This window comes from Homo sapiens, chromosome 8 (assembly GCF_000001405.40).
Source record: "Homo sapiens chromosome 8, GRCh38.p14 Primary Assembly".
In the NCBI taxonomy this organism is placed as follows: Eukaryota; Metazoa; Chordata; class Mammalia; order Primates; family Hominidae; genus Homo; species Homo sapiens.
The window spans coordinates 101,128,301-101,141,240 of record NC_000008.11 but is presented as its reverse complement, the minus strand read 5'-3'; the positions used below and the strand labels follow the sequence as shown (position 1 = coordinate 101,141,240).

Below are 12,940 nucleotides of genomic sequence, written 5' to 3'. Positions count from 1 at the left end.
GAGTAGCTGGGACTATAGGCACACACCGCCAGGCTCAGCTAATTTTCTTTTTTTAATTTTTTGTAAGGACAGGGTTTTTTCTATGTCGCCGAGGCTAGTCTTGAACTCCTGGGCTCAAGTAATCCTACCACCTCAGCCTCCCAAAATGTTGGGATTATAGGCATGAGCCACTGCACCCAGCCCTACAAATATTTTATAATGTCCCTTTTACTACACTGAAATGAAATTTGTATACAACATAAACTATCTGTACACATAATTTTAAAAATCAAATAACTATTATGAAGTGGAATTAAAAGAGAAATAATGTACAATAAAACAACATGTATTTCAACATGCAAATTCTTGGCAGAACTGTGCTAAAAGAAATAACATTGCAGGTGCCTGGATCCATACCTAGAATCACAGTCAATGTGGCAGCCACTGGGGCAGGCCCATCGGGTGTATTGTACTGGAGGCTCGAATTCCATGAGTAATGTTGACATTGCTAATGTGATTTTCCAAAACAGTGAACAACTCCTGGAAAAGTTCTAAACAAAACAAAGCAAGATCTTCTCTCGATGTGCACAGCAATTGCTTTCCTGGAAAATACAGTGTGTTTTTTAAATACTTTGGGTTTATATATGAGAGTTTGGTTTTAGCTCAGATCACTTTGAAGATTTTTCATTTGTGCAAATGTTCAATGGGACATTCAAAAATCATGCAGGTCACAGAGTGTGACCATGACCATCCCACACATCGCAGGTTGTCTACCATCTCTAGCCTCTGCCCACTGCATGGTCATAGCCCTCCTTGAATTATTGTGCCAGCCAAAAATGACCCCCTTCACATTTTCACAATGCCCCATGGACCCAAGTGAATCCTGGTGCTCCCATTCCCCCTTTCCCATAATGAAACACAAGGGGAATTCCACTGGAGGCCTTTAGCACAAGGTGTTTCTTTAATACCTGGTAAGAAGAGACACAGGTGAATAAACAGCACCTTTCTCTGCCTATGGTTGTTGCATGAGAATGCGATGTTTGGGGTCTGCAGCCCCCTTGCTAGCTGGGGGCAACCAGCCTGAGAAAGAGGCCAGCACACTGGGCAGGGCAGAGCAGAAAGGGGGAAGGAAGCTGGAGACCAGATGGCTTCAAATGAGCTACTGCAACAGCCAGTCCCGGAACTGCCCCACCTCCAGATATTAAATAAGCGTGCAAGTTGGTAGAGTTGGAACTTTCTGTTCTTACAGCCAAAAGCTTCTTCCTGATAAAAAATACTCACAGCTGGGTGTGTTGGCTCATGCCTGTAATCCCAGCATATTGGGAGGCCAAGGCAAGAGGATCGTTTGAGGCCAGGAATTTGAGAGCCAGCCTGGGCAATGTAGTGAGACCCCATCTCTATAAAAGAGAAAAAAATTTAAATTATTTTTATACAGCACTTATATTATGGCTATTTGAAGACTCCATTTTGGGGTTTAATGCAGAGAATCTGCCTCCTTACTTGGTTTTACCTTGAGAGACAGTGAGGTGATTTGGTTAAGGACAATTTCTGGTTCACATTCCAGGTCAGCTTTCGTAGGCAGTGTAAATTTTAGCAAGTCACTTAATCTTTTGATGTCTCATTTCCTCACCTGTAAAATAGGGACAATAATGGCTTTCAAATTATAGGGATGCTGTAAGAATTAAATTAAACAAGTTACTGCAAGTAAGCACTTCAAACAGTGCCTTGCACATCACTGAGGCTGAATCAATGTTAGCTATGATTACAGAGTATTTTTAGTTTCTTAGTTAGACTTCTTTTGGCCGCATATAACAGAAATTCAACTCAAACTAAATTAAGCAAAAAAAAAAAAAAAAAAAAGAGAGAGAGAGAGAAGTTATTGACAACTGAGGATACCAAGATGGGTTACAGAACAAGAAAGAACAGCTGGAATTTGTGCCCCGGGCTCAAATGTGACCTGGTGCTTCAAGACAAGTGGTTTCTATCCTCAGCTGCTTGTAAGAATCACCAAGAAAGCTTTTAAAAGTCCCAAGGCCTAGGCAGCACCGAAAACCAACCAAATGAAAATTTCTGGGGCTGGGATCCAGGCACCAGTATTTTTTCAAGCTCCGCAGTTGATTCCAATGTTTAGCCAAGGTTGGAAACCACTGCTGTTGAATCTCTGTCTGCCTCTCCTCTCTGCTTCTCTTTTCTTCCTTTCATGCTACAGAAAGCTCTTCCCACCACAGCCTCAGATGTATATCCTTCCATTATAAAAATCTCGATAGAAAAAACAAACAACAAAAAAAAAGTGTTTTCATCCCACCATCCGTATATAAATGGATTTGGCCTATTAGATCTTGCATTCACCCTTTTTATTCTGATCACTGTTGCTGGGGCATGGGGGAATGAACCCACTCCTGCAGCCAGGAAACTTGATGACTCACCAGAAATACTTGGAATGGACACAGGGCAATTCCTTCAAAGATCTAAGAAAATTGAACAGGAAAAATCCAGATACATCATCTAAATAAAGTAAAACTACTTAGACTTCACCTTGGTTGATATAATGTGTTGTCAGCATTATTAGATTCAGCCATTTTTGTAACCAATAAGATTTGGGCTTGATGGTGTCTTGTCTTCACATCTTTTAGCCACTGCAAGTGACGGAGGCTGTCGCTTTGCTAGGATGATTCCTGGGTCTGTCTCTCAACTATCTTGATGGAATTGCAGGCTGTTGATTCTCTAAAACTGCTTACTCACTGACTCCCTGTCATGCCCACGGTTGACTGATCTCATATGTTACCCTCTTGATTTCTCTCCATTTCACTTGGGGATAAAGTCAACTTTAGGTAGGACTTTACTTAGTATTTCAGCTCAAACTGAAATCCATTTTCTCAAACTTTTGGCCCTTCTCCTCCGTTTTACTTGGTGATCTCCAGGTTGGAGTAGCTCTTACGGAAATGCTTTCAGTTAAATTTTTTTTTAACTAAAAGATGATTGAAATTATACATGGAATCTTCAATTGTACTTAATCCACTTGTTCTGAAGCACATGTAACAGATCCTTCTTTAAGACTGGATATTATCAAGAGCTTGTCTGGAGGTTCTAGCAGGGGAGCGCAGCTAGTCTATACCCTTAACCGAAGACCAGTCGTCCTCTATCGGAGATGGTCGTCCTCTTCCACTGAGCGTGCGGCTTCGGGAGGGTGCACATGGAGCAGCAAGGGAGGAAGGAGACACCCGCCTAGCCAGCCAGAGCAGCTGAATCAACCCTGGCAATCAATGGGGTGACAGATGTCTCAGCCAGATCGCCCTCACATCCAAAACTGGATATTATTGAGAACAATAAAACACATTCCCAACCCTCCAGAAAGTGGGGACTTTTTGATCAGTTGGAGGGAAGTGCATTTGAGGAGAGAAGCCACAGTAAATACCCGCACAGGATTAACATAATTCCCAGTGGAAGCAAGTGGCCCCTGTGGAGCATATCCGTGTCCCCAAGGAGCCTGTTCCCTTCGCTCTGTCTCTGTGGCCTTGTCATGTCATCGCACATTTTCTGAATTCAGCTTACTGTAGGTTTCACAAGACTCTGGCTGCACACTGAGCAGTTAATTTGGATCTCTGGGTTTCCCAACTGGCTAAAGCCACTGCTGCAGCACCATGGAGGGCCGACGGGCAAGCTGGGGAGACACTGCCGCTAGAGGATCACAGAGGGCCTTTGCCATTCTGTGCACTACCGCCAGCAGCTTGGAGTGGGAAGGAGTCTTGATCTTTTGGTTGGTTCTTACGTAGACACCTGATAGGCCTCTTCCTGTTTTGTTCACTCTTTGCATAGTTTCAGACAAAGCGAAAAAGGGCCCCCGAAGGAGCTTTGCTTACCACTAGAGGGAGGAACACCCCAGGCCCGTGCCGCCTGGAGGACAAGGGCCCGCAGCACAGGAAAAGATTTACCACACTTCCCCCCAGCAACCCTCCTCCCTCCAGCTGGGCAGGAAGCCACCTGCCACAGCAACGGTCACTGCTGGGGTCATACTCTTCGTGTGCATTACATTTCCAGATCTGATTTCTGCGTGAAGCCGCAGCATCCTCCTTGGTGTTCTTTGAAAGCTCTGTGTTTTTCCAGCTGTTCCACAAACCTTTATTGGCCCGGGCTGCCTTGCACATAGCTTCCCAAAATTACTGAGGCTATAGACATTCTTTCCACCAGCAGTATCCGCACTGACCCCTCCACCATTTGTGAATGCAAATCCTTACCCCATCTTATGAGTTTGTCTCACTTCCGGGTATCAAAAAAGCTGTGTGCGTCATTCTCAGCCCGCAGGTAGCACTGGAAAGGTTAACTTCCTCTATTCTGGAATTTCATAGAAATAGAATCACACAAGATGTCCTTTTTCTGTGTGGCTGTGTTTGGCCAACATATTGTCTGTGAAATTCGCCCATGTGATTGTGTGTATCACTTAAGTCATTCTTAAATGTGGTCATTCTTAAATATGGTCAGCAATATTTCACTTATGAACAGACCACAGTTCGTTTATTTCCTTATTGATGAATGCTTGGGTTATTTCCAGTTTTTTGTTTGTTTGTTTGTTTGTTTGTTTGTTTGTTTTTGAGGCAGAGTCTGTCTGTCGCCCAGGCTGGAGTGCAGTGGCGCGATCTTGGCTCACTGCAGTCTCCGCCTCCCGGGTTCATGCCATTCTCCTGCCTCACTCTCCCGAGTAGCTGGGACTACAGTCGCCCGCCACCACGCCTGGCTAATTTTTTGTATTTTTAGTAAAGACGAGGTTTCACCATGTTAGCCAGGATGGTCTCGATCTCCTGACCTTGTGATCCGCCCGCCTCGGCCTCTCAGAGTGCTGGGATTACAGGCATAAGCCACCGCGCCCGCCCTCCAGTTTTTTACTATTTTGAATCAGGCTGCTATGACCATTCTTGTGCAAAGCCTCCTCTGGATGTGTGTGTTCATTTATCTTGTGTATATTCCTAGGAGTAGAATGCTTTCCCTGTAAGTGTATGCTTCACTTTATTAGAAACAGCCAGTTTTGACTGGGCATGGTGGTTCACGTCTGTAATCCCAGTACTTTGTGAGACCAAGGTGGGCAGGTCACTTGAGGTCAGGAGTTTGAGACCAGCCTGGCCAGCATGGTGAAACCCCGTCTCAACTAAAAATACAAAAATTAGCCAGGCGTGGTGCTACACGCCTGCAGTCCCAGCTCCTTGGAGGCTGAGGCAGGAGAATCGCTTGAACTCGGAGGTGGAGGTTGCAGTGAGCCGAGATTATGCCACCACACTCCAGCCTGGGCAAGGCAGCAAGACTTCATCTCAAAAAAAAAAAAAAAAAAAAAAGGAAACAGCTAGTTTTCTAAAGCAGTGTTTTAATATATATTTAATCTTAACGACAACCTTAAGCGCACATCAGTCAGCTCACAATTGCTTATTGAGCACCTATTAAGTGCCATGCACTATTCTGGGTGCTAGGATAGAGCAATGAATAAGACAGGCAAGGTCCCTGTCAGTAAGTCACATTCTCATGGGGCAAGATGGGCAATTCAACCTAAATAAACACTGACAATTAGGCCAGGCGCATTTGTTCACGCCTGTAATCCCAGCACTTTGGGAGGCCGAGGCAGGTGGATCACTAGAGCTCAGGAGTTCGAGACCAGCCTGGACAACATCGCACTCCGTCTCTACCAAAAATATGAAGAGTTAGGTGCGGTGGCGCCCCCCTGTAGTCCCAGCTACTCAGGAAGCTGAGGTGGGAGCCTGAGGGGCGGAGGTTGCAGTGAGCCGAGATTGCACCACTGCACTCCAGCCTGGGTGACAAAACGAGACCCTTGTCTCAAAAAAAAAAAAAAAAAACAAACCTGAAAACCTGAAGATTATTTCAGGTGCTCATACGTGGTGCTATGGGAAATGGAGTGATATGCTGGAGCACTGTGGAAGGGTGCTATTCTGCTTCGATGTTCAGGGATGGTCTCTTTGAGGAGCTCACAACTGAGTTAAGACCTGAGAGACAGGGAAGATGTGGCCCTGCAGAGCTTCGGGAAGAGACTAGAGGCAGAAGGAACAGTAGGTGCAACTGCCCTGGGACAGGAAAAAAGTGTGGTGGTGGCCGGGCACAGTGGCTCACACCTGTAATCCCAGTACTTTGGGAAGCCGAGGCAGGTAGATCACCTGAGGTCAGGAGTTTGAGACCAGCCTGGCCAACATGGTGAAACCCCATTTCTACTAAAAATACAAAAGATTAGCCAGGTGTGGTGGCGCGTGCCTGTAATCCCAGCTACTTGGGAGATTGAGGTGTGAGAATCACTTGAACCCAGGAGGTGGAGGTTGCAGTGAGCTGAGATCACGCCACTGCACTCCAGCCTGGGCAACAAGAGGAGCAAAACACTGTCTAAAACGGTGTCAGGCACCATTCTAGGCTCTGAGGATCCAGCAGTGAACAAAATAGACAAACATCCTGCCGTCAGGGAACAAGGAGAGAGCAGGTAGGAGGGCATGGAGGAGGAAGAAGAGACCAGGTGAAGTAGGACCATGTAGACCATGGAAAGGAGTTTGGATTTTTGCCTGGAGCAGCAGGAAGCCATGGAGGGGTTTTAAGCAGAGATGTGAAGATGATGTAATTGACAGCAAGGATGGAGGCAGGGAAACCCATTAGAAGGTCATGTAGTGATTAAGGCTGGAGATCGTAGGCTGGGATGACCGCTATGACTGGAAACAGTGAAGGTGATCTGCATTCAGGAATATTTTAGGGGTTAGCCAAGAGGATTTAATAAAAGATTGATTATGGGGCGAGCAAAAAGAGAAATTCAATTATAATTCTAGGCTCTTCACCTGAGCAACTGGGTAGATGCTGGTACCACGCACTGAGATTGGGATGATGGGGAGGAAAGACTTAAGTAAGGAAAAGCAGTAGTTCCCTTTTGCCAGCTGTACAATGCAAATGGATGTTCCAGCAGAAATGATCAAGTGGCTAAAAGAATTAGGGGTTCATGGGGGAGAGCGAGCCTGAAGATCCAACATTGCAAATCATCAGTATATAGGCAGCTTTTAAAGCTACAAGATGGAAGGAGATGACCTAGGAGGAGAAAGTAGGCCAAGAAGAGGACAGAGAATGCCTGGAATACACTGCGAATGTGAAGTTCCATTTTGCAGATGAGGAGACAAGGCTCAGAGAAATTACACCATCGCCCAAGGTCAAGCAGTATGATGAAGCTGGTCTGACTCCAGGGTCTGTATACTTACCTACTTCACTCTAATCCCTGAGGTTTCTGAGCTCTGCCATTTAGATGTCATATGAGCTCAGCAAATTACTTAGCCTCTCACAGTTTTCTTGTCTGTAAAGTGGGGATAACAATAATTATACATTCCACATAAGGCAATGTGAGTAAAATAAATTAATATAATTTAAGTGCTTAGAACAATGCATGGCTCACGGTGATATCAGCTAGTATTGTTACGTGAGCCACAGGGTCAGAACATGCAGGCCTCAGAGGGAAGAGGAATAAACATTTCTGAATCTACACAACCGGGTGAGCTGGCTCCAGATGTCACAGTCAGGGATCTGTGGCATCAACCGGTGGCTGAAGAGAGTAGGTCTGTCTCAGACAGGAACTCTTACACCTGTGGCCACGGCAACAATTGGCCGCAGGGTGTGGACATACCTTCGACCCCCTCCTTATGCAGGTGAACTGTGGCACATTGGGATCCAGTCAGTAACGGAGAGGTCAGGGCTTCAGGTGGAGGACACAGCGGCTCAGGCCAGAAATGAAACCAAGTGAGGAATGGACTTTTTCCCAAAGTGTACACAGAAATGCCTCCTACTCTACTCTTGCTGGCATTTGCTGTTTGGCCGTGACTCAGGATTCCACCACATAGCATCTATTCCATAAAATCCACATCTGAAAGAAGAGAAGAGACAGATCTAGTCAATGTTGAAGGTAGTTTATGCACATGAGGCAAACACTTGTTTTTTTGTGAGCACAGTTTCTTCTGTCCCCACTTCCTTAAAGTTACTGCCCGACCCACTCCCTGTGTGGCTCACAGACTGCAACTCCCTGTCCTCAGAGGTGGTCCAAATGATAAATGCATGATCCAAGCTGCAGCAACGTGAAATTTTCCTCTTAGGTTTTACAGTAGATATTGGGAAAACAACCTCTTTTTCCTTGGGGGTTGCAAAGTTGTAAGGACATCCTCACGGAGCCGTGCCTCCTTAGTCGCCTTTGCCCATCAGCCATGAGTGAGAACAGAGCCTGCAGAGAGAGGTAAAAACCAAGAGATGGAAAGCTCTGGTGGCTTCATCTGAGCCCCTCGCTCACTGTTCACTGTTGTCTGGGCCCACCTATTATGAAACTTTTAAAGATTCGTATTAGTTTCCACTACTGGCAATTGTCACAGCCTTAGCTAAGACTCTCCTGAAAGTAATTCAGTATTGTCAGTTAGCTTTACGAATAATGAACCTAGCAGGTTAAAAGTTCCAATGCGGCCGGGGGCGGTGGCTTACACCTGTAATCCCAGCACTTTGGGAGGCCAAGGCAGGCAGATCATGAGGTCAGGAGATCGAGACCATCCTGGCTAACACGGTGAAACCCCGTCTACTAAAAATACAAAAAATTAGCTGGGCGTGGTGGCAGGCGCCTCCAGTCCCAGCTACTCGGGAGGCTGAGGCAGGAGAATTGCTTGGACCCAGGAGGCGCAGCTTGCAGTGAGCCGAGATTGTGCCACTGCACTCCAGTCTGGGCAACACAGCGAGACTCAGTCTCAAAAAAAAAAAACAAAAAAAAAAAGTTCCAATGCAAGGTCTCGTGGCATTTAAATGAACTGACCACCCGAGCTTATGTGGTCTATTTTTACTTGATCATCCTCCCTGTAGGGTACCTATCGGCTCATGTGTCTTTTAAAGACTCCTTCAAAGAAAAACTGCCAGCTCATGTAGCCAGAGTGTTTAGAGTCAAGGAGACACCAGATGGGCAGCATTTTGCTTGGGGAGCTAGAACATCTCTAGACAAGGAGACCAAAGACTCCGAATTAAAATCACGCTGGACCAGATCAAGCTACCCTTTGGGCTTGAGTCTTTACAATTCTAGACCCAGTGAAAAGGTCTGCTTGAATCATGAGTGCCTGAAGGGTTTAGTGCATTTCTAGACTCTCATGGATTCAAGCCTTCCTGGACAGAGTAAATCACTGGGTGGCATTCGTTTCATTCACATGTATGTGCATATATATATATATATGTGTGTGTGTGTGTGCATACATATGGTGTATATATGCATGTGTGTATATATGTATGCAGCATATGTCTATGCACACACACACATACACACACACACACGCACATGTTCCAGCCTCACACACTTATTCAGGAAAACTGACTCAAAGAGGTGGTAAAAAAAAAAAAATCAGCATTTCTTAAAACTTCTTCGAAAATCATCTCCTGGCCTTCATCTCATTTTCTCCTGTGACATTTTCATCTCAAAGCTCTAAATTCTTTTCATAGCCCCTGAGTAGGTGACAGCCACTTGAGAACAGTCTTGTATTGTCTTGCTTTCCTTTGGAAAACAAGGTGGGCAGGTGATTTGAGGAGTTGGAAGAGGGGAGGGTACATTTTTCCTGCACCTCAGATCTGGCAGTCCCAGGTTTTAGAAGCTCTAGAAAATGTAGCACTTGATTAGGCTGGGAGAGAGGAGACCCAGGAGGCCCAGAACTAGAAGCAAATGTGGGTTTGAAGTGTTATTCTCGTCTCCTCTAGGCCAGTCTCTCCTCATTGTTCTCACTGCCTGAAACAGCTATTTTCTAAAGAGTAACTCTCTCCTTGCTGAAGCAGAGCTTTCGTCTGACTATTGCATTCCTGTATAGGAGTGAGGAAATTGGGAGAGGACCAAGTTCCCATGCAGCCGCCTCGCTGCCAGAGCAGGCGGACGCTGTGGGCATGTGTGGGTGGTGGTGCCCCTGTCTTCATCGTTGTGCTGGTGACTACAATCAGCCTCTTAGAAGATGGTAATAAGATTCTTGTAGAAAGCTACAAAATCATCTGTGGCAGATGGCAGAAGGATAGGTTCTGATTTTTCTTATTCCACTATTATTTTTCTTGAGAAATGTGCTCACCAACATCCCGCTTTCTTGTGCTTTATTTTGACAAAGCCAGAAATTAATTTTTAATCCTTTTTATCTGACCTTCTTTTAATCATAAATTCAAGGAGGATTATTACCTTTTAGAAACAAAAGTAAGTCATTATCCAGCCTCTTCCCTCTGTCCCTCCCACGCAATTTTTTTTTAACACTGAAAAAATCCTTTAAATTTCTCTGAACCTACAGAGATGATATTTACCATTGCTATGAGTGCCCTGGTGATGTGCGATTTCATTTTCTTATTGGCTGGGGGGCAGGGTTGGGCTATTGTGTTTTGGTTATTTTTTACTCCCTCTCTAGACAGACATAAAAGCAAAAAATATTATAGGCTCCAACAAAAAGAGGGGCTACCATTCATTAAATGCCCTCAACATGCAAGCACCATGCTAAACAATGTACTGACATGATCTTACTAAATCCTCACATTAATGCTGTAAGTAGGTACTATTATTACCCTATTTTACAGATAAGGAGACTGAGACTTGTAGAAAGAAACTTGTTGTCCAAGATCAGATGGCCAGGGTGAGGCAGAACTGGAACTCAAAGCCAGGGAGCTCCGCTCCAAAGCCAGTGCTTTGAAATGGCACATTCTTCTATTTTCCCTGATGAATTCTAGTTGTGTTAGTGGTAGTTTCTGGGCTTTAGGGGAGTTTTTTCCTAATTTCAAACTCTTGTTTGGGGCCAGATGTTAAAACGCTCATTTATGGAAAGAGAGCTGGACATGAGTTACCGAGGCACTGGCCTGACCTTAAAGATGCAAGGTAGACCCACCATTTTGCAAATGAAGAAATTAGAGTATGGTGTTTCTGTTAACGATTGCTATCTAGCAAACCACCCTAAAATTTGGTGGCTTAAATGACAAAACCATCTGTATTGCTCCCAGTTCTGTGGGGCAGGACTTTGGGCAGAGCCCAGAAGTACCATTTGGGAATGATTCCATGTGGCATGGGCCAGGCTGGCCTGACTATGACTAGGGCATCTCTCTATGACTAGGGCCTCTCTCATACTTGGGGCCCTGGGGTTGGCTGCAGGTCCTCTGCAGAGCAGGACAACCTGGACTTTATATGGTGGCACAGGGTGGCAAGAGAGGGAAAATAGAAGCTGCCAAGCCAGTAAGTCTAGGCCTAGAACTGGAACAGCACCCCTCTGTCTCATTCTTTGGGCCAAAGCCAGTCACGAGCAGCGTAGTTTCAAGGGGAGGGGCACTGACTCCACCCTGTGATGAGAGGAATAGCATGTGAATACAGGGATGGCCTGTTGATGGCCATCTCTGCAGACTATCACACATAGTGACTTGTAGTGGCAGATAGCCAAGTGTTAAGCTAATATTACAGAAAATCCCACTATGGCTGCTTTCCTGGAAGGGAAAAGATTCCCTTTAGACAGTATGTTGTGTTTTGACTCTCTTAGCCTAACAATTAGGGAGGTATTTTAGCAGGGACGGGGGCTGGCATCACTCATCTTTTCCTGTGGGAGATGACAGTCTCGTGGGCCTATGTGACCTGTCGAGTCCAGTTGGGGGCAGGGGGCACCTTCCCTTAATCTAAACAGCCTGCACATTCTCTTTGCCAAGAGAGAAGCCCAGGCAAAGAAAAGGGGGCAGAGGGTGGTCACTCCACTGAGGACACAGAGGCAATGAGCCCAAGGATGTTATAGAGGCTGCCCAGGTGAGTGGGGAAGAGAAAACTGGTTCCACCCACCTAAAATGATCAGCCCAATCTACCTCTAGTGAAAAACAGACCAATGGCCTCGTCAAGAAGAATTTAATGATAAAGGAATTTCCGGCCTCAACTAGCAGAGCATTTATAATCATTTTATCAAGCTTGTCCACCCACCTGAGCAAGGAGCAAACCACAAATTCAAGGTCAAATGTAAAAATGTGTACCTGGGATGGAAAAGCAAGGTGGATTACATCCAGATGAAGAATAATTTAAATCAGAGAATTGTTAGAGTCAGAGGCAGCCTAGGAGATCCAATTTAGTCCAATCCCAAGTTCTGCATGAGAAGACTGAGGCCCAAAGAAAAGAGGTGGCTGCCAGGTTCCATAGCTCTGTTATTCTTGCATTGATAATGAGCACTTAGTAAGCACTGACTAGATTAGGTGTCAGGCGTTCCGCTTGGTGATGAGAATTCAAGGTGGAATAGGACATAGTCCTTGCCTTCAAAGGGCTGACTGTCTAGGGGTGGGGAGAAGGACATGAAAAGCAATGATTCTAGAACAATGCGGGGTTACAGCATTCCAAGGGGACTTTGGGAACCCAGAGAGGTGGCCCTAGGACCAGAGCTCCACTTCTCAGCTCCAGGTCCCTTGCTCCATGTCCATGAGCTCCGAGTGGAAGAAAGTTTGTTTTTCAAAAAACCCTGCCTACTGAGCTGTTCATCAGAGCTACACTGTGATTTAAAAGAAAGTGTGGTCTTACAATCTCATGTGCATTAATAAGAAAAAATCCTAACTGTGCCTGGTATTTGGACAGATCCTAACAGAACCTTCGCACATCTTATATCACACACAATCTCATGACACGTGGCCCCGGTACCAGTCCTGAGGAAGGCAGCTAGCTTTCATCCAGAGCCTCTGACTTCCAACCCCTTCACTGAGCCACTAAATGAGACATATTCTGGCTGGAGCCTCAGAAGAACCAGACCAAGAATGGGCTTCGCCACCAGCATGCACGATCGGCCCTACGCCAACTCAGAATACTGGTTAAAAGGTGTGTCCAGATCTAATGAGAGCCTAAGAGGCACTTTTCCACCTTCGTGACAGAGAGGCGAGCACAGACCTGGGTGTTACTTAAGCCCTCTGAGCCTTAGGTTGCCCATCTGTGCAATGGGAATCATCATCATCATCACCTATA

General features: G+C 45.6%; 1 long non-coding RNA gene and 1 pseudogene across 3 annotated transcripts, besides 3 other annotated features; both read right to left on the bottom strand.

Annotated features, from left to right (window-relative positions):
- Positions 1-917: 917 nt before the first annotated feature.
- LINC03090 (long intergenic non-protein coding RNA 3090) lies at positions 918-12,837 on the bottom strand. Of its 3 annotated transcripts, none has more exons than XR_928462.3 (7): positions 11,971-12,837; positions 8,002-8,209; positions 7,622-7,858; positions 7,203-7,294; positions 4,215-4,311; positions 1,490-1,609; positions 918-1,376 (listed from the first exon to the last, which is right to left on the bottom strand). It is a non-coding gene; the product is annotated as a long intergenic non-protein coding RNA 3090 (long non-coding RNA). The 3 variants fall into 3 exon arrangements; XR_928460.3 differs by having other exon boundaries at positions 8,006-8,209; XR_928461.3 differs by having other exon boundaries at positions 8,113-8,209.
- On the bottom strand, positions 3,049-3,282 carry RN7SKP249 (RN7SK pseudogene 249; annotated as a pseudogene).
- Positions 3,658-4,253: an enhancer, noted in NCBI's record as "H3K27ac-H3K4me1 hESC enhancer chr8:102149216-102149811 (GRCh37/hg19 assembly coordinates)". NCBI's record gives its function as "activates a minimal SCP1, AML or CMV promoter by ChIP-STARR-seq in naive H9 embryonic stem cells {active_cell/tissue: H9 hESC(naive)}" and the evidence as "EXISTENCE:reporter gene assay evidence [ECO:0000049][PMID:30033119]".
- Positions 3,666-3,960: an enhancer, noted in NCBI's record as "tiled region #802; HepG2 Activating DNase unmatched - State 4:PromP, and K562 Activating DNase unmatched - State 5:Enh". NCBI's record gives its function as "activates a minimal TATA promoter and a strong SV40 promoter by Sharpr-MPRA in HepG2 and K562 cells {active_cell/tissue: HepG2 | K562}" and the evidence as "EXISTENCE:reporter gene assay evidence [ECO:0000049][PMID:27701403]".
- Positions 4,005-4,124: an enhancer, noted in NCBI's record as "active region_27727". NCBI's record gives its function as "activates an Ori minimal core promoter by ATAC-STARR-seq in GM12878 lymphoblastoid cells {active_cell/tissue: GM12878}" and the evidence as "EXISTENCE:reporter gene assay evidence [ECO:0000049][PMID:35858748]".
- Positions 12,838-12,940: the final 103 nt, after the last annotated feature.